The sequence below is a fragment of the Homo sapiens genome, chromosome 7 (assembly GCF_000001405.40).
Source record: "Homo sapiens chromosome 7, GRCh38.p14 Primary Assembly".
Taxonomy (NCBI): Eukaryota; Metazoa; Chordata; class Mammalia; order Primates; family Hominidae; genus Homo; species Homo sapiens.
Window position 1 is genome coordinate 29,654,581 of NC_000007.14, and position 26,044 is coordinate 29,680,624.

The 26,044-nt window shown below is 37.3% G+C and overlaps 1 long non-coding RNA gene across 1 annotated transcript in view; it reads right to left on the reverse strand.

Annotated features, from left to right (window-relative positions):
- Positions 1 to 26,044, reverse strand: part of MIR550A3HG (MIR550A3 host gene) — a 39,217-nt gene that overhangs the window by 8,659 nt on the left and 4,514 nt on the right. The window lies entirely within an intron of this gene.

The window sequence follows — 26,044 nt, forward strand, 5'->3', positions numbered from 1 at the left end:
CCGCTGAGGAAGTGATTGCCTGCATTTGTCTCCCGATGAATGCTAGAGAAACTGATCTAGAGTGGCTCCTCTTGGTTAGAATTAGCTGAAGCATACTGTATATATTTACTTCTTTTAAAAATTTCATATAAAGGAATAGAAAATAATACTAAAAAAAAAAAAAGGTCACAATCTTCTATAATTCCATCACTCTTATCAATTACCTGAAGTAAAAAAACTCTCTCAAGTCTCTCCCTTTGCTTGTCAAGCCCCGCTGCAGACAGGTAAGCTCTGTTCAAAATTTGCTTTGTGTCCTGGATTTTTTCCTATGCTCATAGAGACAGGATTAGCTGGCTGTCTTGCTTTGTGTGCTATCTTTTCTAGACATGTAAAATAATACATTTGAAATACTTGTTTTAATGGTATTTTATAATAAAGCAGCTTTTAATAACTTTTCTTTTTTTCTTTATTCCAGCCGTCTTTGTGGCAATTTTACATTGGTAAGATTTAGTTTCAGTTTGAAATATTTAAAAACATTTGAATTAAAAATTGCCATCACTCTTTGCATACAGTAAAACAGCTTCTGGCTATATTTGTAGAACATCTTTATGTGCACCAATTTATACGTATACTTTGCTTTTTTACAAACCTCATATGTGAAGCAGCATTTACAAAACAGATGCATTAGGGGAATAGTAACTTGTGAATTAAAATCGTTTTGCTACCAAATAATTCACTACACGTTTCTTTAAATATCTAGCTTTTCTAGTGTATTTTGCATGTGTAGTTCATTTAAAACCCTCCTTTATTTTATGGTAATTATATGTTGTTAGTGAAATAACTTTTTTTTTCTTTTTTTTTGAGACAGAGTCTTGCTCTGTCTCTCAAGCTGGAGTGCAGTGGCACAACCTTGACTCACTGCCTCCCAGGCTGAAGTGATTCTCATGCCTCAGCATTCTGAATAGCTGGAATTACAGGTGTGCACCATCACACCCAGCCAATTTGTTGTATTTTTAGTGGAGACGAGGTTTCACCATGTTGGCCAGGCTGGTGTCAAACTCCTGGCCTCAAATGATCCACGTGCCTCAGCCTCCCAAAGTGTTGGGATTACAGGTATGAGCCACCACACCCAGCCAGTGAAATAACTTTGGTGATGGCTAGGCGCGGTGACTCACGCCTGTAATCCCAGCACTTTGGGAGGTCAAGGCGGGCGGATCACAAGGTTAGGAGATCGAGACCATCCTGGCTAACACGGTGAAACCCTGTCCCTACTAAAAATACAAAAAATTAGCTGGGTGTGGTGGCGGGCATCTGTAGTCCCAGCTACTCAGGGGCTGAAGCAGGAGAATGGCGTGAACCTGGGAGGCGGAGCCTGCAGTGAGCCCAGATCGCGCCACTGCACTCCAGCCTGGGTAACAGAGCAAGACTCCGTCCCAAAAAAAAAAAAAAAAAAAAATACTTTGGTCATAAAATTTTAGTAACACCTGCCAATTGGAAATCAGGTAAAAAAGAAGACAAAGATTCTGCAGTGGTTATACAGAATTAAATGGCTTTGAGCCTTTCAGTGTGCAAGCCTGTGTACATTATTTTACAAAAGTGTTTATAAAAATTTGTAAAATAATATTTCCCTCTGGAATATTTTATTTTTACCTGTGCTCAGCGATTTCTACCCTTGGGAGGTATGAGATGTGCCCCTATGTTCTGTTGACACAGTGCTGCTCTAGACATTTAGTCTGCAGGGAGATTTCGATATTAGAACTGAGGCTGCAATGGTAGGGAATATTCCTGCAGTTTTTGGTACCCTGGCATATGGCCTACATGTAAAGAACGGTTAGTGGAAAACAGGGTTAATGTATGGAACTTTGCTTTATTTTCAACTTCACTGGAAAGTACTGACTACATAAGTTAGCTATAGCATAATTGTTGACCACAGCTAATTTTGTTTATCACATATGCTCCTTTCTTCACTGCCGACAGCTGCTGAGTTTCACTACTAAAAGGTCTTCAAGTACACACCTGTATTCTTTGGCACTTGAAAGTTGATCCCTTATGTGATATTATACTTATTGTAAGTCTGCTTTGATCTAAAGTAATTTTATTTAAAATTATATTCGGAACCCTTTTCAACAGTTATGGAGGTATTTCCCAAGGCCGGTACACTAGAATCACTTGAAACTTAAAAAACAAACAATAACCTGCCTCTGTTCTGATTTTGAGGCCTGGGACGGAAGGGAGCGTGAAAAAAGCCACAAGAATTTTAGATATATAATTAGGGGTTTTTTTTTCTTTTTTTTTTTTTTTTGAGACAGAGTCTCACTCTGTCGCCCAGGCTGGAGTGCAGTGGCATGATCTCTGCTCACTTCAACCTCTGCCCCCTGGGTTCAAGCAATTCTCCTGCCTCAACCTCCCTAGCAGCCAGGATTACAGACATGCACTACCATGGCTGGCTAATTTTTGTATTTTTAGTAGAGACGGGGGTTTCACCATGTTGGCCAGGCTGGTCTCGAACTCCTCACCTCAAGTGATCTGCCCGCCTCGGGCTCCCAAAGTGCTGGGATTACAGGCATGAGCCAACGCACCCGGCAACAATTAAGTTTAAAAACCACTGAGTTAAGGAATTTCAGGTGTGTGCCATACTGCATTATAAATGCCTAAAAACATACAAGTTGGTAAGCAAATTATAAAAACAATATTATAACAATTTATTATTTTCTTTTTCATGGCTTTCTTACTTTGCTTATCGCTTATTTTAGTGTTGGTTTTGAAACTTGTTCTCACTGTAATATGATACTTCATTTTTTTTCTAGGTTACATTTAGTAACACTTTTTGAAAATGATCGTCATTTCTCTCACCTCTCATCTTTGGAACGGGAGATGACTTAGATGACTTCTCCCACTGAAATGGTTAGATTTCTTCTTCTAACGAATTAATCTGTGGTTTAAGAATAGTGAGACTATGAGGTAGAAATGTATTAGGAATTGAAACCAGCTTTTGGTGAACTGCACTGTTTCGTAAGCTATAACCCAGGTTTATTATTTAAATAGTAAAGTGTTTGAGATTATTTTTCTGTTACTTATTTCATTGTCTCTCACCCTTTCCTAATGCAGACTTCTTTTTAAGATAATAAAGATGAATTATAATAGCTGAGGAAGGAGGACAAAGAAAGCACTGAAGAAGTGATAAAGGGGAATGAAATAAGATGTTATCAGAAATTGCTTTTTCTTTGGCTACAGTTGGGAGATCCCATGTTTTACTGGGTCTTTTACTGATGATGATTATTATTTGGCTCTCTTTTGATTTCAAGATAATCTCTTTTAAGAGATAACTTTTGATATAATTTTTAAATAATTTTCTGTTTTTCGATACTTAATCTTTAAAATGGAGTTCTCTGCCGTACACATCTCACATAATTATTGTGGGGAGTAAGTGGGATAGCAAATGCCAAAATTGCAGTTTTACATTTAGAAGACACCACAACCGTCCATCTTCCAGATCTGCTCGCAGCTGGTCGGGGGCCTAGTGAAGCACTGAAACTGACTCTCCTCACTCTAACCATTGCTTTTTGTTTAAATTATGGTAAAATTTAGATTTAAATTTCTAATAAAAAATTTCAATACGTTTATCATTTAAGCATACAATTTAGTGACATTAAGTACATTCGTGTTGTCTTGCAACTATTACCACTGTCCACATCCAGAACTTTTTTTGCTATCCCAAACGGAAACTCCACCCACTAAACACTAATCACACCCAGCTCTATTTTCTGTCTCTATGATTTTGCCTATGCCAGGCCCCTCAGTCACTGCTTTTTAATTTTCATCCCTATATTGCCCCTATAAAGTTTCAAAGCATTGGATACATTAACATATGTATGACATCTGAACATTTTAAAGGTATTTCCAAAGACAGAATATAAAATAGTATTAAATAAAGAGTGTAACTGTGGCAGAGTCTGGACTTTGGTGACAGACTGCTGGATTCTAATAGCAGTTCTGTGCTTTATTGTATCATGGCTAGTCAGGTCACCTCTCAGATTCTCAGTAATCTCATCTGCTCAATAGAAATAATGCCAACCTTAGAGAGGTTTAGGGAAAATGAAGGGAGATAATGAATGGCAACACATAGCAGGATACTTAACACAAAACAATAGCTGTTATTAGTAACTTATTTATATATTTAATATTTCCTTACATATAGACTTTTGCATATTAGATATCCTTTAATTATTGTATTGCTTTGTTATCCTCCTAAGCAGAAAGGAAAATTCTTTATGAACTCATATTTTGCCAATCAACTATGAGGTAATGGCCTTTCCGACACCAGCTAAAACAAACCTTTAATTTAGTAGTTACTCGTGTTGGATGAGGCAGATATGATTATAGCATATAGCATTTTTTAGGGAGAGTGCATTTTAAACAATGTGGCCCTTTTTTGCTTTTAGATTTTAGGAGTGAAAACAAGAAATTGATGGGAAAATAAGACACAACATGCTGTTGTTAATCCACGAATTTTTTTTTTAATTATACTTTTAAGTTCTAGGGTGCATATGCACAACACGCAGGTTTGTTACATATGTATACATGTGCCATGTTGGTGTGCTGCATCCATTAACTCATCATTTACATTAGGTATATCTCCTAATGCTATCCCTCCCCCCTCCCCCCACCCCATGACAGGCCCCGGTGTGTGATGTTCCCCTTCCTGTGTCCAAGTGTTCTCATTGTTCAATTCCCACATATGAGTGAGAACATGCGGTGTTTGGTTTTCTGTCCTTGCGATAGTTTACTGAGAATGATGGTTTCCAGCTTCCTCCATGTCCTTACAAAGGACATGAACTCATCCTTTTTTATGGCTGCATAGTATTCCATGGTGTATATGTGCCACATTTTCTCAATCCAGTCTATCATTGATGGACATATGGGTTGGTTCCAAGTCTTTGCTACTGTGACTAGTGACGCAATAAACATACGTGTACATGTGTCTTTATAGCAGCATGATTTATAATCCTTTGGGTATATACCCAGTAATGGGATGGCTGGGTCAAATGGTATTTCTAGTTCTAGATCCTTGAGATTAATCCATGAATTTTAACTCAACAGCATTTCTACTATCCTAATGAAGACTTTATTTTATATGCTGAAGTGTAAGACACTAAAATAATCTGCTTTTTAGTACATAGCATTTGTAAGCAACAATAGTCAATCGACATTGAGCTTTCACTTTGTACAGAGGATTAGATGGAGCTATGAAGTAAGCTAGAAGCATTGGATTCCTTGCCCATGATGCTTATGGTCATTATATTTTATTTCCTAAGAGCATGGGAAAAAAAGTAATTTTCTATATGCAAAGTTGTACAGAGGCATGAAGGCATCCCTGTTTATGACAGAATTAATCAGAGGTCAACCTTCAAGCATCTCAAATGTGGGGGATAAAACCCAGATTTGATAAAATTAAACATGTACTGTCTACACACTTTAAGACAATATTAGATAAACTCTTTAAATTGTTGGACCATACCTCCAACTCTTTAGTTTGAAAACCTATAGACAATTTGAAAGAATAGTACGGTGATCACCTGAAAATACGTGCTTTTTAAAGTCCAAGAATGCAAAATAGCAAGGAGTAATTAGGAAGTCTTATTATTGACCTTTTTTTTTTCAGAAAAAAAATGTACTAAAGAATTGATAAAAATAAATATTTTAAAGTTTTAATTACATTGACAATATGTGCCTTTAAAAAAAAAAGGGACTTTATTATTCCTACTTCAAGAACAATATTGAAGCATCTTCATTTTTGGAAGGACTGTGGATGATTATGAATGACAGGCTTACTGAATATCCTCTTGTAATTAATACAGTAAAACGCTTCCATCTTTATCCAGAGGTGAGTCATAATTTGAGACAAATAATATTTGTAGAGTGATCCTTTTTATCAGATATAAATAGTAAGCACAATCTTGTTAAAAAGAAAGGGAGGGGACCTTTCAGGTTTATTAATTGTGTGTATCCTTATAGGTGAGCAGAATATCATAAGTTCTTCTCTTAAAATTTAAAGACCCCAGAAACTGTTCTCGCATGAACTCAAAGAATGAACCTTAGTGTGTAAATAATGGCCAGGGTAATAGACAAGCCAAATGGAAAAGAGAGTCATGGGAGCCAAAACGGTTCTAAATAGGGATGGGCTTTTGGCTTTCGAGAACTTGTAGGTGGGCACGATGACCACGTGAAGGGACGGTGAGAATGATGGGCTTGAATAGTGATCTTGGAGTTACGTTAGTAAAGTAAGACTTCTTTTTCAGCCAGAAATCTATTACTATCTTCCAACACTTAGCCTAAAAGAGTATGGTTGTTATAGTAGTCTGTAAACGCTAGAAATTTGAAAAACAGAGACAAAATTAGTGAACTCAAGTTTGTGAACTCAAGATAAATGCTAAATTTGACACCATGGTAAATACTACTGTTGAGTTTAAAGTTGTCCCAGAATCCAGCATATTAATTAAAAGTTACTGATTTCTAGTCCTTTATTCATATTTTTATAGCTTTTAAAAATTATTCTTTAGATTTTGAAATGCTTAAAACTACAGACTTAGAAAATAATATTCAAATATGTGTGATCAACCATCTAGAATAAATAAATGCTAATCTTTGTCATTTTTGCATCAGCTATTTTAAAATAATTAAAATATTAGAAATACAGTTAAAATCACCTTTGTTCTGCTTCTAGTCCAACTTATACCTTTATTAAAATTTGGTGTGTGTATCCATCCAATCTCTGTTTTCAGATTGTTTTATTATGTGCTTTAAGTCCACATAAATGATCTCATACTGTATGTATCACTGTAGAATTTTTTCTTCAAAATTGTATTTTTGAACTTTCTGTATATATATATTTCTTTAATTTTAACCATTTTATGAATTCTAAAGTTTATATATTTCCCCACCTTAATACATTATTTCCAATTTTTCAATTACAAGCAATGTAATCTAAAATGTACACTTTCGTATGGTTTTCTTCTGTATATGTGCAATATTTTGTCTAGGATATATACCTAAAAGTGGAATTGCTATTATAGAGTGTGTGCTTTTTCAGCTTTACCACATATTGCTAAATTGCTGTCTGAAGCAAATGTGGCAGTTCACACTGCTGTCTAGAATTTTCTCATATCCTTATTAGATTTTGAATTGTCAGACCCTGTGATTTTTACTCTTATGATGGCTGTGATATGCTTTTTTGTTTTAATTTGTTCTTCCCTTATTATTTATGGGAATAAATATATTACCATGTTTAAACAGCATTTGGATTTTTTTCTTCTATCAACAACATATATAAATCTTTGTCACCAAATCAGCTTTTTTGAGGTATGACTTACACGTAATAAAATGTGCCAATTTTGAGTGTACCATTCTCTGAATTTTGACAAATGTATGAAGCTATGTATCCATCACCACAATTGAGTTACAAAACATTTTCAGAATGCCAAAAAAATGCTCCATTGTGGTAACTGTCTTTTCCCCCATTGAATTAATTTTCTCGGTACATTCGTTGAAAATTGATTGACCACACTATGTGTGAATCTGTTTCTGGACTCTATTATTCTCTTGATCTATAATTATGCCAGTACCACAGTCTTGATTACTGTAGCTTTACAATAAATCTTGACTGTAGATAGTTCTCCAACTTTGTTTTTCCTTTTTAAAATTGCATTTCTATCTAAATGTTAGGGTCAGCTTATTAATTTCTCAAAAAAAAACCTGCTGGGATTTTGGTTGGGATTATGTTGGACTTGTACATGCATTTGGGAAGAATTGACATCTCTATGATACTGAATTTTCTAATCCATGATCATGGTATAGATCTCCATTTTGTTGATTATTTTTAATTAGTCTCAGCAATGTTTTGTATTTTTCAATGTATGGTCTTCCCCAGTATTCTTTTATTATAAATGGTATTATTTTAAAATTTTTTTATTTTTCCATTTTTTGTTGCTCTTGTATAGAAATATAGTTGATTTTGAATATTAACTTTGTACCTGCATCTTGATGCAGTCAGTGGTTCTAGTAGCTTGTTTGTAGAATCCTTTGGATTTTTCTATGCACGTGATGATAGAGTCTATAATTAAAAAGTTTTACTTTCCAGTAGATATACCCTAAATGTTTTTAAACAGCTTTATTGAGGTATAATTGACATATGATAGCTGGTCATATAGATGAAGTGTAAAGTTTGATTAGTTTTGGCCCACCTGTAAAACCATCACCAGTCAAGATAATGAGCATATCCCTCATCCCGAAGTTTCCCTGTCCTCCTTGGTAATCCCTCCTTCCTTCGTCTCTCTTTGCCCACATCCCATCCCTAGGAAACCACTAATATTCTCTGTCATTATGGTTTAGTTTGCATTTTCTAGAATTTTATAGAAATAGAAACAGAGTTGTTCTGTGCCTAGGTCTTAATTTATGCGGTTGACTGAGTGATGACACAGATCAGTGCCACTGAAAGAAGAATTTATGACTAATACTTCCTTGGAGAAGAGGACAAGTCACATCACACAGAGCCACAGGAGAGATACAGTTTGGTCAGGCAGAAGCAGGACTGAGGGTAAAGCCTAGGCCATCGCTTTTATTGGGGTTTCTATGGGAAAGGGAAAACCAGGCAGAGTTTAAAAAAGAAAATAAATAAACAAAATCGAAAGACAGTTGATACACTGGGAGAAGATATTTGTTTGGTTTCTTTTTGTTTGTTTATTTTGAGACAGAGTCTCACTTCATTGCCCAGGCTGAAGTGCAGTGGCGTGATCTCGGCTCCCTGCAGCCTCCGCCTCCCAGGTTCAAGCGATTCTCCAGCCTCAGCCTCCGAATACCTGGGATTACAGATGTGTACCACCATGCCTGGCTAATTTTTGTATTTTTAGTAGAAACGGGGTTTCACCATGTTAGCCAGGCTGGTCTCAAACTCCTGGCCTCCGGTGATCCCCCTGCCTCCGCCTCCCAAAGTGCTGGGATTATAGGCGTGAGCCACCATGCCCGGTCAGGAGAAAATATTTGTAATATACCTCACAGATAAAGGGCTAATACACCTAATATATAAAGAACTCTTAATTCTTTATATATTTAGCTTCTGGAGGCTTCAGGTGTCAGTTTGGTGATGAAGAGAGCTGGAATGATGACACTCTCATTCCTACAACAAGGAAAATAGCTGGACAAACTGCAAGATAACACCTTTTTTGAACCCTTCAGAAAACTGAGGTCAGAGGACAACCAACGCAAAATTTCAAGGACAGGTGCCTGCAGAAAGCAACAGGAACTGAGCATTCTGGAATAGGAACTGCTTGACTGAGATAGATGCTTTTGAATGCCGTATAAGCTGGTACAAAGATTAAACCAGAAATTTTTAATGAATTGCTACAGGCTTAGTGTGAGCTGGCATGAAATGTGAAGGCGAGCAGGCTCTGTCAGGGAAGATTGGGGAAGCATTTAGAGAAAGCTTTCCCTATGGTGCTGGCTAGGGGACAGGAAAAGCAGTCATTGCTCAGACTCTGCTCACACCCAAGTTGTGAAATCTCACCTAAGGAAAAGAAAGCCATGATCTGCAGGGAGAACGGTATCAAACCCATTGTCTGAGGACACTGGTGGGTATCCAGTGAAGCTGGTGAAAGAGAACAGGCAGGAAAAAAGAAAAAAAAACCTAAATGTTAAAAGACAATCATATTCCTTGAGAAGGGAACACTTATGAAGGGTACAGCCCCCAAGTCCCAAATTCACAGTACCTGTCTAAGATTGAGGCTTAATTGGAACATCAGAAAACCTGCCACTCTTCACCCATTACATTAACAAGCCTTTGGTAAAAATCACAGTGGAATGTGACTGAGTGAGTTTTGCAAGGCATTTTCTTTCTAGTGAGCAGCACAAAGGACAACCCAAAACCAAATTCAAAACAGGGTACCACTAGAGGAATTTGAAATCGCTAGTGTCCATAGCGGCAACAAACTCCAGCTTTGGTAACTACAGCAATTACAAACTTCAAATCCAGCCCACCCTAACTAGATTAACACAAATACCTACAATAAAGACCTAACAGTAAGAAAGATGTTCTTATTTTCAAGCATAAAAATACTGACCTCTATGTCTACTGTCTTCTACAACATGTCTAACTTTCAGCAAAAATTATGAGGCATACCTAAAGGTAAGAAAAAGCACAGTCCGAAGAGACAGAGCAATCATCATCCAGACCCAAAGAAGATACAGATACTGGAACAACTGGACAGGAGATTTAAGTAACTATGATTAATATTTTAAACACCCAAATGGAAAAGACAGATGATACGCAAGATCATATAGGTAATTTTAGCAGAGAGTTGGACACTATAAGAATCGAAGGGAAATGCTGAAAATAAAAACAAGAAGTAAAAAATGCCTTAGATGGGCTCATCAGCAGACACAGCACAGCAGAAGAAATAATCAGTGAGTATGAAGATAGGTCAATAGGAATGCAAAGAGAAAAATAATGGAGGAAGGAAATGATAAGAGCATCTAAGAGCTGTGACACCATATCAAATATTCTAATATATGCATAATTAGAATCCCAGTGGGAGAGGAAAGGATGAGGAAGAATAAACATTTGAAAAATAAATGACTGAGAATTTTCCAAAATTAGTGACAGATACCAAGCCACAGATCCAAGAAACTCAGAGAACAGCAAAAAGGATAAATACCAAACAAATGCATGAATGAATAGATAAACAAACCAAACATGCATATACAAACCTGGGGGTAAATGTAAACACATTAAAGAGTATGAGACAGAGACTATCTCACAAAGCCTAAAATACTTATCGTCTGGCTCTCTATAGGAAAAGCTTACTGACCTCTTGTCTAGGAGAATGAATAGACTAGGGATATAATGTGAGTTTCTTGGGCAGCACCAAGGGCTTCATTTGAGGTTGATGGTCTTGAACTGAGAACAAAACCAGCCAACAGAATTGTGTTTCTCCAGCTATAATCAGATTCCCAAGTATAAACACGGAGAAAATGGAGAGTTGGATTTAATCATGTTGGGTCAGCTTTCCCTTGGATGTAGAAAGCCAAAAAGAACATTGCTCATGGCCTTCCAGCAATGTCAGCAGCAACAACAACAAAAGCCAGACAGTCTTCAAATTGACAACTTTTCCTGAAGTGGTCAGGGAGCTGAGGTCACAGGACAATCAAATAACCCAAAATAAATTAAAAAGAAAAACCATGTGCAAGGAGAACAGAAACAAGCATTTAATTATACGGGTCATGCCACTAGACACAATGGTAAAGAACTCAGCTCAAATTGTTCACCAGTCAGTCGGTAAATGCCTAGTGTGGGTTAGCAAGGGAATTTGCAATTGCTTACAGACATTTTTACACAGAGCTCATAAGGTGCTGACAAAAGATTAGCAAGAGTGCTCAGAAAGCATCCTCCATGGTAAAGCCTGGGAGAACAGCAGCCACTTAGAGAAAGGCATGAAACCCACCCACCCCGCTCTTCCTTATCTCCCCTATAAGTCTTAAACTCTCTTAGCTTAAACTGCTGGGGAAAAGTTGGGGGAAAACACTGTCCTTTTCACATTACTGGTACAAAAATAGGCCACAGATCCTGATTTAGTTCTTGAGCCTTACTTTTGCTAACCCCTTGACTCCTGTTTCATATCTTCTCTCTCCAGTTATCCCAAACCTCCTCTCCCGCTTTCACTCTCAGCGAATGACCTTGTTTTCTACTGTTTTCCCGTGCCCATTATGTATTTCCTAGCTGTATCCCAGGTGCCTACTTCCTGGAATATGGAGCTGATTCAATATCATATTTGTTGAATGAATGAAACTATGCAAATTTCCTTGTGCTACATACTCAGTAGTCAATGGATACAACCTAAGCACAACCAAAATTAGGTTTATCTGTATCCTCACCTGCATTTGGTATGGTCACTATTTTTTATGTTACTCATTCTTACACATATGTAGTGATATATCATTATGGTTTTAATTTACATTTCCCTGTTGGCTAATGATGATGTACATCTTTTTGTGCTTATTTGCCGTCCGTATGTGAAACGTGTCTTTATGTATTTTGCTCCATTTCTATTTGAATTGTTTGTTTTATGAATTTTGGATCTTAGGGTGTTCTTTATATATTATAGATGCTAATTACTTTTCATATATATGGCTTGCAAATATATTTTCCCACTCTGTAGCTTGCCTTTTCATTCTCTTAAACAGGGTCTTTTGCATAGAAAAATTTTAAAATTTTTATGAAGTCCAGTATGTCCATTTTTCTCCTATTGATTGTGCTTTTGGTGTCAAGTCTAAGGATTCTTTGCCTAGCCCTAGAGATAAAGATTTTCTCCTGTATTTTTTGTAAAGGTTAAGAGTTTTGCATTTTATATCTAACTGATCCATTTTGAATGAAATTTAGGTCAAGATTCTGTTTGTTTGTTTGTTTGTTTGCATATGGATGTTCATTACTCCAGCACCATTTGTTGAAAGTGGATCTTTCCTTTCTTTCCTTCACTGAATTGCTTTTGTGCCTCTGCCAAATATGTCAATTGGACATATTTTGTATGGGTCTATTTCTGGGTTCTCTGTTCTCTTCCACTGATTTATGCATCTACCCCTCTGCCAATACCATATAGGTTTTTGTTGTTGTTGTTGTTGTTTAGACTGAGTCTCACTCTGTTGCCCAGGTTGGAGTGCAGTGGCATGATCGCAGCACACTGCAGCCTCTGTCTGCTGGGTTCAAACAATTCTCATGCCTCAGCCACCTGAGTAGCTGGGATTACAGGCACATGCCACCACGCCCAGCTACTTTTTTATTTTTAGTAGAAATTGGGTTTCACCATGTTGGCCAATGTGGTCTTGAACACCTGCCCTCAAGTGATCCGCCCACATCAGCCTCCCAAAGCGCTGGGATTACAGGTGTGAGCCACTGTGTCTGGCCAGTAGTCTTAATTAACGCATCTATGCAGTAAGTCTTAGAAGCAAGTAGCCTGATTCCTCCTACTTTATTCTTTTCCAAAATTGGTTTGGCTAGGTTCTTTTTTTCTTTTTTGCCTTTTCATATATATTTTACAACATGCTATATCTACAAAAATCTTGTTGGGACTTTGATAAGAATTGCATTAAATTTGTAAATCAATTTTGGAAGAACTGACATCTTTATTGAATCTTCCAGTTTATGAACATGGTATATCTCTTCATTTATTTAGATCACCTTTGATTCCTTTCCTCAGCATTGTATAGTTTTGATCATCTAAGTCTTATACGTATTTTGCTAGATATACATTTAAGTTTTTCATGTCATAGAATTATAATTTTAATTTTGGTGTCCATCATTAGCACATAAAATACATTTTTTTATGTTTATCTTTTATCACGCAACTTTGCTGAACTCACTTGTTCTAGGAGTTTTGTTGTGGTTATCTTTTTGTTGTTGTTTTAGATTTGCTGGGATTTTTTACATAGTTCTGGCATGGGCAAATAGGGACAGTTTTATTTCTTACTTTTTAATCTGTATGCTTTTTATTTCCATTATTTGCCTTTTGCACTAAAACTTTTAGCACTGTGTTTAATAAGTGGTGAATGTGAACATACATGCCTTGTTGTCAGCCTTAGGAGAAAGCATCAGTATTTAATCATTAAGCATAATGTTAGCCACAAGTTCTTTGCACGTGATTTTTACACAGTTGAGAAAATCTCCCTTTTATTTCTTTTTTTTTCTGAGAGTTCTTACCATGAATGGGTATTGAATTCTTTCAAATTTTTTTTTCTGTACCAATTTATATGATTATGTGATTTTTCTTATTTTGCCTCTTAACATGTAATATGATGTATTTGAATATTGAAACAGCCTTGCATCCCTGGAAGAAAACCTCATTTGGTCATGGTATATAATTAATATATTATTGAAATCTATTTTTGCAATTTTGTTTGGGAATTTTGTGTTTATATTCGCAAGGGATATCAGTCTGAAGTTTACTTTGTTTTGATACTGTTGGTACTTTGTTGGTTTTAGTATCAAGGTAATACTAGTTTGAGGTAAAGAATTGGGAAGTGTTTCCTCTTCTCTTTTCCAGAAGAGATTGTATAGAATTGATGTTAATGATTTCTTAAACCTCTAGCAGAAGTCTCTAGTGAAAATACCTGGGTCTAGAGATTTCTTTTTGAAGAATTTCTACATTTGAATTCAAGTTCTCAATAGTTATAGAAATATTTAAATGATCTATTTTATATTGATTTTATTTATGGCAATAGTTTGAGTTTTTCAAGGAATTGGTATATTCCATCTAAATTGACAAATTTAAGTGTGTACAGTTGTTTACAGTATTCCCTTATTATCTTTTTGATGTATGCAGAGTCTGCAGTGATAGCCCCTGTTTCATTGACATGGATATGGATAATTTGTGTCTTCTCTTTCTTTGTCAGTCTTGCTAGAGGTTTGTCAACTTTATTGACCTTTTTGAAGAACCAGCTCCTTTTTTCCCTTGGCTTTTCATATAGTTAGATATTTGTTCCCTCCAAATCTCATGTTGAAAAGTGATCTCTAGTGTTGCAGCTGGGATCTAGTGGGAGGTGTTTGGGTCATGGGGGTGGAACCCTCATGAATGACGTGGTTCCCGCCCCACAGTAATAAGGGAGTTCTCCCTCTGTAAGTTTATGTGAGATCTGATTGTTAAGAGAATCTGGGACCTCACTCGTCTCTCTGTTGCTCCCTCTCTCTTGACCTGCCCCCTCCCCACTGGAACCTTTCTCTCTCTTGTTTGCTCCCCCTTCGCCTTCCACCGTGATTATAAGCTTCTTAAGGTCTTCACCAGAAGCAGATGCTGGTACCATGCATGCTTCTTGTACGGTTTGCAGAACCATGAGCAAAAATAAACCTCTTTTCTTTCTAAACTACCCAGTCCTCGGGTATTTCTTTATAGCAATGTAAAAAAGACTAATACAGCTTTCTCTATTATTTTTCTATTTTCAATTTCATTGATTTCTACTCTTTATTATTTCCTTGATTCTACTGGCTTTCAGTTTATTTTGCTCTTTTTTTCCTAGGTTCCTAACTGGATGCTTAGATTATTGATTTTTTTCCTCTTTTCTAACATATTCATTTTAGTGCCATACATTTCCCTCACAGCACTGCCTTCTCTCTTGCCTATACGATATATAAATATTTAAGTAATACAAATGTTTGCTATTGGGAAGACGGAGTGGATGTACTTTTCCTGATTACTCCCTTGAAGTACAACTGAAAACCCTTTGAGTTATACACAAATCAAACATAAGAAGACTCTGAAAAGTAGAGAGAAGACAGACTTGAGACCCAAAGAATAACATGGTTATGAGTTCCATGGGCTCTCTTTGTGCCTCATTTTCTCAGACTTGGAGTTAAAGAGGCTGGCAATCCAGAAATGCCAATGGGCACTGCTATGATTTGAATGTGTCCCCTCCAAAATTCAGGTGTTGAAACTTAATGGCCAATGTGATAGTATTAAGAGATGGGACCTGCAAGAGGTGAGTAGGCCATGAGGACTCCCCCCTCATGAGTGAGACTAAAGCTCTCTTATTCTCCTACTATCTCCCATGTGAGGACACAGTGTTCCTCTCCTTCAGAAGATGCAACATCAAGGCACCATCTTGGAAGTGGAGAGCAGTCTTCACCAGACGCTAAATCTGCTAGCGCCTTGATCTTGGACTTTCTTGGACTCCAGAATTCTTAGACTCCAGAATTGTAAGATATAAATTTCTATTTTTTTCAGTTTTGCCAATTTTATTGAACCAATAAAATTCCTACTAATAATGATGAAATAATTTCTGCAAGTATAAATGTGATACAGTTTAACAAAACCCATTGTTCTGTAACTATACATAGATTTTCAAAATGTCATAAAAAGTGCAGTTATGAATTGTTAACATGTTAATACACAGTTCCTTTATTCCAGCACTTTGGGAGGCCGAGGCAGGCAGATCACCTGAGGTCAGGAGTTCGAGACCAGCCTGGCCAACATGGTAAAACCCCGTCTCTACTAAAAATACAAAAATTAGCCAAGCACGGTGGTACACACCTGTAAGCTCAGCCACTTGGGGGGCTGAGACAGGAGAATTGCTTGAACCCAGGAGACAGGTTGCAGTAAGCCGAGATGGTGCCACTGCACTCTAGCCTGGGCAACAGAGTGAGACTCCGTCTCAAAAAAAAAAAAAAAAAAGAAAAAAAAAGCTTGAAAACCATTAGATTCCTTAGAGGACTGGTTGAACATGTTCATACCAGAGGACTGAAAGTGACTTTCACTTTTTTTGCATCATCTGAATTTTTTTTTTTTTTTTTGAGACATAGTTTCGCTCTTGTTGCCCAGGCTGGAGTGCCATGGTGTGATTTCAGCTCACTGCAACCTATGCCTCCTGGGTTCAAGCAATTCTCCTGCCTCAGCCTCCCGAGTCGCTGGAAATTACAGGCATGCATCACTACGCCCGGCTAATTTTTGTAGAGACAGGGTTTCACCATGTTAGTCCGGCTGGTCTCAAACTCCCGAGCTGAGGTGATCCACCCGCCTCAGCCTTCCAAAGTGCTGGGATTACAGGCGTGAGCCACCACGCCCAGCTGCATCATCTAAATTTTTATAGGAGTGAATTCTTATTTCTTCTGCAATTAAAAAAAGAAAACTTCCAAGTAAAGATAACTAGTTGTACACATTCATTAGTTTCCGCTCCGTCCAAACATCCTACTAAAATGATAAAAATGTAATTTTTAAAGGGAATACGCCTATAAAAAAATCAAGAAGATGAAATAAAAAGCAGTACCTTTAGACTCTGGAAAGAAAATTAATGAGTAATAATTTTCACTGCAGAACTAGGAAAGCAGAGAAGCAAACTGATTTACAGCAGGCACAAGAATTGGCAAGCACAAGATATCCCTGGAAGCAGGGGTGAAGGCAGGCCTAAAAGAGAAAGATTCATCGCCAGTCTGCGTAAGAAGCTGTGAGATCTCCTAGTTGTCCTCCCTGACTTGCAGCAGCTAAGCAACCCCAACCCTGGCACTCTACTACAAGTTTGTTATTAGGAGAGGGAAAAGTTTCTAGACTTGCAGACAACAGGAATAGCTGAAGGCAGAGGTCCTGTATTGATACTAAATACGGAGATTAAATGAAAGTATCACTTTGAGTATTAAGACTCTCAATCTTCTTCTCACTCTGCTCCTAGATCACTAGCATAAACGACTGTGTATTCCAGGCAAGAAAAGCCATTTCTGGAAAATATGACCAGCCCAAGAGAAAAGACAGTAATATTCCTAAGAAAATGGCCCAGACAGAGGACACTACATGCACAGAGAGCTTCCAATTTGCTTTTTAGCGCCCCCCACTTTAAAAGTATCAGGAGTTAGCCAAAGATCACCAAACATTTAAAGAAAATATCTAACAAAAGAATGAAGCCAAACAAACAGAAAAAGCAAGTGGGAAGAAACCGAGTCATCAGGAAAGGGAACAAAGCATACACATACATATATATACATACACATACATATATACACTTATACACAAACAGATGCACATGTAAATACGTATCAGTAATATTCTTAGAAAAAGATATTGTACCCACAAAACAAAAATGGAATATATGAAAAAAACATTATTTTTTAAAGACCTCAGAAATTTTAAAAAACATTAAAAATTAAGTTAAAAATTAAAATTACAGAAACAAATAAAAACTGACAAAAGAGTTATAAGATCACATTTTTAAAAGTCCCTATCTGGGCATGGTGGCATACACCTGTAATCCCAACTACTCAAGAGGCTGAGACAGGAGGATCACTTGAGCCCAGGAGTTCAAGGCTGCAGTAAGCTAGGATCACACGACTACACTCCAACCTAGGTGACAGAGCCTCGAGACCTTGTCTTTAAATAAATAAATAAATCCCTCAAAAGAAAAAAAGAACAAAAACCAAAGACATAAAAAAATTGAAGAGAAAAAAGAAAAAGCAAAGGATTACTCTAGGTGTACAACATCTAAATCATCAAAGAAAAAAATGGCAGAAAAAAAATCACAGAAAGCAGCTGACTCAAAGAGCCTACCAAATATGGTGCACAATGAATGAAAACAGTTCCCTCCCAAGGCATGTAATAATGAAATTTTCATACAAAGGATCAAAAACCATAATGACATCTATGTGCTCAACAGCAACACTAGAAGCCAGAAGGCAACAAGGCAACACATTTTAAATTCTCAGGGAAAATAACTTCAACCTAGAATTCTATATCAAGTCAAAGTACTAATCAAAAATGAGGGCAGAAATAAAATATTTTCAGGAATGGAAGCCTCAAAAAAATTTTACCTTACACATATTCTTTCTCAGTAGGAACTACGAGATTATATCAACTAAAAACAATGGAGAACATCAAGAAAGAAGACACATAAATTCAAGGAACCAGGAAACTGAACATAAGAGAGAGGCAGGCAAATACAATTTCCAAGATGATGATGAACAAAGAGGGATCTCATAGGATAATCATTTCAGAACAGGGTAGGTCAGAGGGTCTCCAAAGAGACTTTAACAAGAAAATGAAATTCAGGCAATACTCATTATATGAATAATCTGAGAGGAGATTTATACAAATGAGGGAGGGTTGTAAAACTAAACAGTTTTTTTAAACTAACAAATTTTTAAAAGACAAAAGAGAAAACACAAAATTGTACAGGAAAAGAAAAGCAGCCAAATGTGAAAAGAACTCTGAATTATTAAAAGCTAATTAGATTCTGTACACTTCACAACTACAATACAGAATAACTCACACTTAAAATACTACAAGTGGTTGATCTAACTTCTGAGTCTCATCTCCAGATAATAGCTAAAGCAATTGTCTACTTTACCACCGACTTCTTATGACATAGACTCAAAAGAGATAGTGCTTATGAAGTAACTTTCCTAACACATAAATTACTATATGAAAGTAACTGTATTAGTTCAATATTTATAAAGACACTTAAAGTGGCCAATAATATTAAATATTCTTAATTTTAGTTATTCTGTTTTAAAGAAACTAATGGCAATCCTCCAAAGAACTCTGTGTATGGTAAGGTGGAGGAAGAGTGGACAAAAGGAGTTATTAAGGAACTGACATTTCAAGGTGACCAGATATGCTGTTTTTGAAGAAGTGCTATGATAGACAGGAAATATGGAGAATTACAAATCAAGACTTCAGGGCTGTCAGACTGAAGGGTGCTGAAGCACCAGCAAAGCAGTGAATTGCTTTAGTAAATGCCAAGTCATCCAGGTTGCCTGAGATGTAGTAAATCATGTAGCTGAAAAAAACTAAGTTTTTCAGCCTCTGCCCTGAAGCAGCAGCACACACTTAATGAAAACACTGACCTACCTTATCAACCATCCTTCCAACCATCTCCAACCGCCCACAAAACACACTCACACTGATAACACTTTGTAACACATTCAAATGGTTATAAAAGAGCTATAAGCACAGTATAATTTTACTTCTAAGGCAATTTTATAACTGTCTCCATTTGTATAATCTACATTATGCCTATTTGGTTCAAAAATTAATTTACCTATATTTACATTATACAAATAAAAACATAGCCTACCACTTCCTTCTAGAGCAATACATTTTTATACATAATTTAAACACAGCAATAATTCTGATAATAATCATCTTAAAACATAATAATGTAGTTATCAAATACATTTTGGGAAATATTCAATATTTACAAAGTTTTTACCATGTGTTTGGCATAGTAAATGTGCTGAAAAACTCAATTCAAATGTTCAGGGGAGAATTTTGTAAATATAAGAAAGATACATTCTAAAAATAATGAAAACTGGATTGTTTTTGCAAAGTCTGATCAGTTGGGAAGAGAAAGGAATACGGTATCAGAGTAAAGCACATGGTCATTCTGAGGAGGGTGAGACTGGAAGTGGGGCATAAATCTTGGATGTTTTAATTTTTTCATTCATTGAAGAGGCTCCTTCAATAGTTAAAAGCATAAAGGTATGAAGTATGTGGACTACTTTAACCCTCATAATACTACAAAAGCAGGTTTTTGTTTTGTTTTGAGACAGAGTCTCATTCCGTCGCCCAGGCTGGAGTGCAGTGGTGCAATCCTGGCTAACCGCAACCTCAGCCTCCTGGGTTCAAGTGATCCTCCTGCTTCAGCCTCTGGAGTAGCTGGGACTACAGGCATGCACCACCACACCTGGCTAATTTTCGTATTTTTGCTAGAACCTGGGTTTCACCATGTTGCCCAGGCTGACCTCAAATTCCTGAGCTCAAGCAATCGCCCCCCCTGGGCCTCCCAGAGTGCTGGGGTTACAGGTGCAAGCCAATGCACCTGGCCTGATTCTAGAGACGAGAAAATGGGGGTACAGAGGAACTAAGAAACTTGCTTAAGGTCAGCCCAAGAAACATGACTTGAAGACTTAAACTCTTCCCCACAATAACAGAATACAGCCTGGACATAAAGTGCATCCCATCTCTGCTTTCGTTAATTTATGGACAGACGCAGAACTCAAACTGAGCTAATCTGAGTCCTTTCTGCTGGAGGCAGAGAAAGGTACTCCTTTCAGGCCTGTAATTATACATAATTTAAACACAGCAATAATTCTGATAATAATCATCTTTAAAAGCATGCAGTTGGAAGTACAGAGAGTCTCAAGGCCCCAGCTTAAAGAAGGCCCATACTGGGGCCTGGGGGCAGTGGCTGACACCTGTAATCCCAGACACACACAGACACAAAGACACACACACACTCTCTCTCACTCTTTCTCTCTCTCTCTCTCTCTCTCCCTCTCTCCCTCTCTCCCTGTATAAATTTCAGCTCCAGGGGCCTTGGTTCCTGCATTTGTTCCTTCAATTCTCTAAGTTACCCTAGGATCCTTTTCAATAATTTGAAACAATATATAGTGTTTCCACCTAATGCTATTTTGAGTTATGCTTCTATCCTTTACAACTGAAAGACTTTAGATTCTCTGACCATGGTGCAATACTTTTATATTTTTTGAGACGGGGTCTTGCTCTGTCACCCAGGCTGGAGTACAGTGGTGCGATCTCGGCTCACTGCAACCTCCGCCTCCCGGGTTCAAGCAATTCTCCCGTCTCAGTACCCCCTAATAAGCTGGGATTACAGGCACCTGCCACCATGCCTGGCTGATTTTTGTATTTTTAGTAGAGATGGGGTTTCACCATGTTGGCCAGGCTGGCCTCGAACTCCTGACCTCAGATGATCCACCCACCTCGGCCTCGCAAAGTGCTGGGATTACGGGCGTGAGCCACAGTGCCGAGCCACGGTGCAATATTTCTAAATTAACACTAGAAGTAACGATAGGGTAGTAGTAAGGATAACCACAATAAAGCCACACTTTAAAATAACTTTCAAGTAAAAGAAAATATCAAAATGCAGTTAACATGATTACTCCTCGATAGAACTGACTTTTAAAAGATAAAAAATGTGTACTCAATGACAATGAAAATGGTAAGTATCCAAAGCTATGGGAAGTGACTACATGTAACGAGAAGTAAACACAGCCTTAAACGCTTTTATCATTAAAAAATGATAAATAAAAAATAAAAGAACTAAAAGCTAGGAGAAAGAACAAAATTAACTTTACAAAATGAGAAAGAACAGAATAGAGGCAACAGTAGAAAAAAATTAAAAACCAACAAAAATAGAAAAATTTATTGTTCAACTGAGCACTGGCTCTCTGAAACATATTACACATAATAAATAACCCATTATGTATATATGGCTTCTTTGTTCTTTTTTTTTCCTCAGCTCATATATAAATAGGTAAATTAAAGAACTATTACACACTAATCACAATTCAAGCAAAAATTAGGATATTCCACATGGTCAGAACTTATGAAATTCAAATGACTGAATATACCTATAATTTTCTGACACACTAAATCTTTTTGTTGCTAAAAAAAAGAGCCCTGAATGAAATAATGACTCTGACAGGTGATATTACTCGAAATATATCTACCAATCTGCACTTATAAATATCAAAAACCTCACAAGCTTTTATTGGTTAAAAAATTTTACATAGTCCTAAAGATTATACCTTGCTAGAAGCTGTTTCCATTTCTAATGAGCAATTTGGCAATAAAGATCAAATGCCTTGAAGAAAAGCACATCTTTGTTTCTGGCAATCCCATGTTGCTGATAAATTTCTAAAAACTGGCCGGGCACTCACGCCTGTAATCCCAGCACTTTGGGAGGCTGAGGTGGGCGAATCACTTGAGGCCAAGAGTTTGAGACTAGCCTGGCCAACATGGCGAAACCCAGTCTCTACTAAAAATACAAAAATTAGCCAGGCATGGTGGTGCACACCTGTAATCACAGCTACTTGGGAGGCTGAGGCACAAGAATCGCTTGAACCTGGGAGGCAGAGGTTGCAGTGAGTCAAGATTGCACTACTGCACTGTAGCCTGGGCGACAGAGCGAGACTCCATGCAAAAAAAAAAAAAAAAAAAAAAACTGTAAAAATTTGCTTACCAAGGTGTTCACGGCAACAGTATTTTATTATAACTGTACCAAACTAAATGTTCAGCTATAAGGAACAACCAAATAAATCCTTGACTCTTCATTTTCTCTCATACCTCCACATCTAATCCAGGTGGCTCTATCTTCAAAACACTGGATATGCAGAATCTGGCCACTGCTTAGCACCTCCAGCACTGCCACCCAGTCCAAGCCACTGTTATCTTTCATCTGGATTTTTGACTCCTTGCTGACTCTTGCCACCTCACACAATAGCCAGAGTAATCCTTTAAAACCCAAGTCAGATTATGTCTATCCTCTGCACAAAAATACTCCAGTGTCTCTCCATCCCTCTTTAAAACAAAAGCCGCAAACCACAGGTCAGTGGTTATGAGGCAGTTTATGATTCTGTCCCAACCTCATGCCACCCCACTACGCTCTCATCTTCTACAGCCCTCTGCACTCCAGCTGTAGTAAACCTACATATCAGGTACACTCATGCCTCAGGGCTTTTACAGTTACTGCTCCCTGTGCCTGAATATGTTTTTCCCCCAGAGATCCTCATGACTTGCTCCTTCACTTTCTGCTTGAATTGTCACCTTGTCATTGAGGTCATCCTTAAAACCCGATTTAAAATAGCAACTATAGATAGGCCTCCACCCCATAATCTCTATCAGCCTTTGCACTCCATTTTTTTCCATTACACTCAATGCCCTAACACACTATGTATTTTACTTGTTTACTATCTCTCCCAAATAGAATAATAAGGCCCCTAAAAGCAGGGATTTTTATCTTATTTCTTCACTGCTGTATCCCCAGAATAGTGTTCGGAAGAGCAGGTCCTCATTAAATATTTGAGTGATTTTTGGAATACTGGGTAATAATTAAAAATCATGTTATAAAAAATTTTAATGTGATGTTAGAAACTGGTGGAAATGGAAAGAGCACGTTATCAAAGAATATGTAACCCATGGATCAAGAAGAAATCATACGGGAAATTAAAATACATTTTTCACTGAATGTTAACAAGAACCCTTCAAAATCAGTGGGATTCAGGTAAAGCAATTCTTGGAGGAAAATGTGTAGCTTTAAAACTTCGTATTAGAACATCAGAAAGGTTAAAATCAAAACAATATAAAAATGAATGTTCCAAATTTTGTGTCTAAAACAAATACATATATAAAAGACATTAACACTTTTTTCTGGTTATTTCTAGTGGTAAGATTATAAGCGATTTGCGATTTTTTTTTTTTGAGATGGAGTCTCACTCTGTGGGTCAGGCTGGAGTGCAGTAGCGCGATCTCCGCTTACTGCAAGCTCCGCCTCCCAGGTTCATGCCATTCTCCTGCCTCAGCCTCTGGAGTAGCTGGGACTACAGGCGCCCATCACCACGCCTGGCCACTTTTTTGTATTTTTAGTAGAGATGGGGTTTCACCGTGTTAGCCAGGATGGTCTAGATCTCCTGACCTCATGATCCACCCGCCTTGGCCTCCCAAAGTGCTGGGATTACAGGCGTGAGCCACTGCTTTTCTGTATGTTAGTTTTTCTCTAGTGAACAGGTATTATTTTTATAATTAAAAAAAAAGGTTTTAAAAAACTTCCTTTCCCTCTGGTTGAATTCTAACTGCTGGCCTCTTCCTCTCCCTGTCTCTTAAAATACTTGCTCCTCTGGATTCCATCCTTGTCCTTCATCAATCTATATTCATCCCTTAGTAATCTTATCCACTTTCTGGAATCATTTATATCCTGCAAATTGATTTCTCAGTTTTTTGTAATATCCCGAATTAGAGACTCATGTTTCCAGCCACTTAAAGGATACTTCTATGCAGATGGAAATCCGATAGCCACTCAAATTTAACAGGCCTAAAAGGAACTCATTATCATTTCCTAAAACTTGTTCTTTTCATCTTTAATACTGGTAAAGACATCACTATGTACCCAGGTTCTCAATTCTATCAGTTCTACCTTAGAAATCTCAATCAAATCTAACTTTTCTTCTCCCTCACCAATGCCATCTTTTCAACGTAGGCATCTTCTATCAGTTATATTCTAAAAGAATCCTAACTTATCCTCCTGCTATCACACTCTCCTCCTTAAGAACTGAATCCTGATCAGGGTTGCTGCATACAGCCTGAAGTCTGCACCACTAGAGAAGGTTGCCATCCATGTAAACTACGAATGTTAATTGTGCCCAATGGCCTAATCATGATACTCCCCCTGCTTTCAAACTTCATTGGATAAAACAAACCTACAGCACTATAAAATCCTTCAACTGGCTCCACTTTCTATTTTTCTAGCTTCGGGTTCTCATCATTCCTCTATGCACCCTACAATCCAGACATATTTAACTTTTCAGTATGCCCTATCAAAACCCAAGCTTTTGTGGATTTTTCTTTAGTCTACAGTGCCCTCTCTCCATAAAACTTCTAAATCCTTCAAACTACAATTCAAATGTATCCTCCTCTGTGAAGCATTTTTTGACTAGCCTAGACAAAGATACTTCACGAAGCATTTTGTTAATAGTTCTATTACAGAATTTGTTGCACTGTATAATGATCACACATATCCATCTCTCAAATTCAATGGAGAGTTGAGCAGTGCATAAAGAAGCCCCACATTTGAACCCTGAATATCTACAATGCCCAGCCCCTAAAAGGGGCTCAATTCATGTTTATTAATACTATATTTACCATATGCATTAGTACAACTTTTTAAAAGTAAATAAAAACTGAGTTTAAAAAAAAAGTTGCATGTTCAGCTGTCAATCTAAGTCTATAATCCATGTGGCAGACAGAACTGATGGGACTATTCTTGATTCCTACACTTCCTGGTGTTTAAACCTTTGTATAATTCCCTCCCCTTGCACGTGAACTGGACCTATGACTTGCTTCTAATCAATGAAATACAGCAAAGGCAATGGGTTGTATGTGATTACATGTACACGATTATGTAAGAACATAGCACCAGTTCACCTTTGATAGACTCTCTTCCTTTGCTGACTTTGAAGAAGCAAGCTGCTCTGAACCTAACAGACACAAGGAAATAAATTCAGCCAATAACCCAAGGAAGTCTGGGGGCAGACCTTTCCCCAGTTGAGTCTCTAGATAACAACCCAGCCCTGGCCAACACTTTGACTGCAGTCTTACAGAGGACACAGCTAAGTTGTGCCCAGCCTCTTGATCCATAGAAGTTGTGAGGTAATAAACGTGTTGCTTAGAACAGCTAAATTTGTAGTTATTTGTGAACAAGCAGCTTAGAACATGAATAAAATAAAATAAAAAAAAAGAAAATGAATAAAATCAGAACCTAAGGTATTTCTGAACTCTTTGTTCACAAAAAGGCCTATGTTTTGTCCAATTTCTAAACAAATAAATGTCATGTATATGCAAAATTAAAACACAGACTAACATTTCAAATAAACAATAGTTCTTAAGAATATTTACATAAGGTAAAACTTAGGAAGTAATCTGCTACATAAAGCAGTTCCTACACTCTCTTTTAACACATTTGCCAGTATACCCAATTGTACATAATACTTAGTACATGTAATAAGTTTAATATTAGGGCAATTCTCCTTACAAAC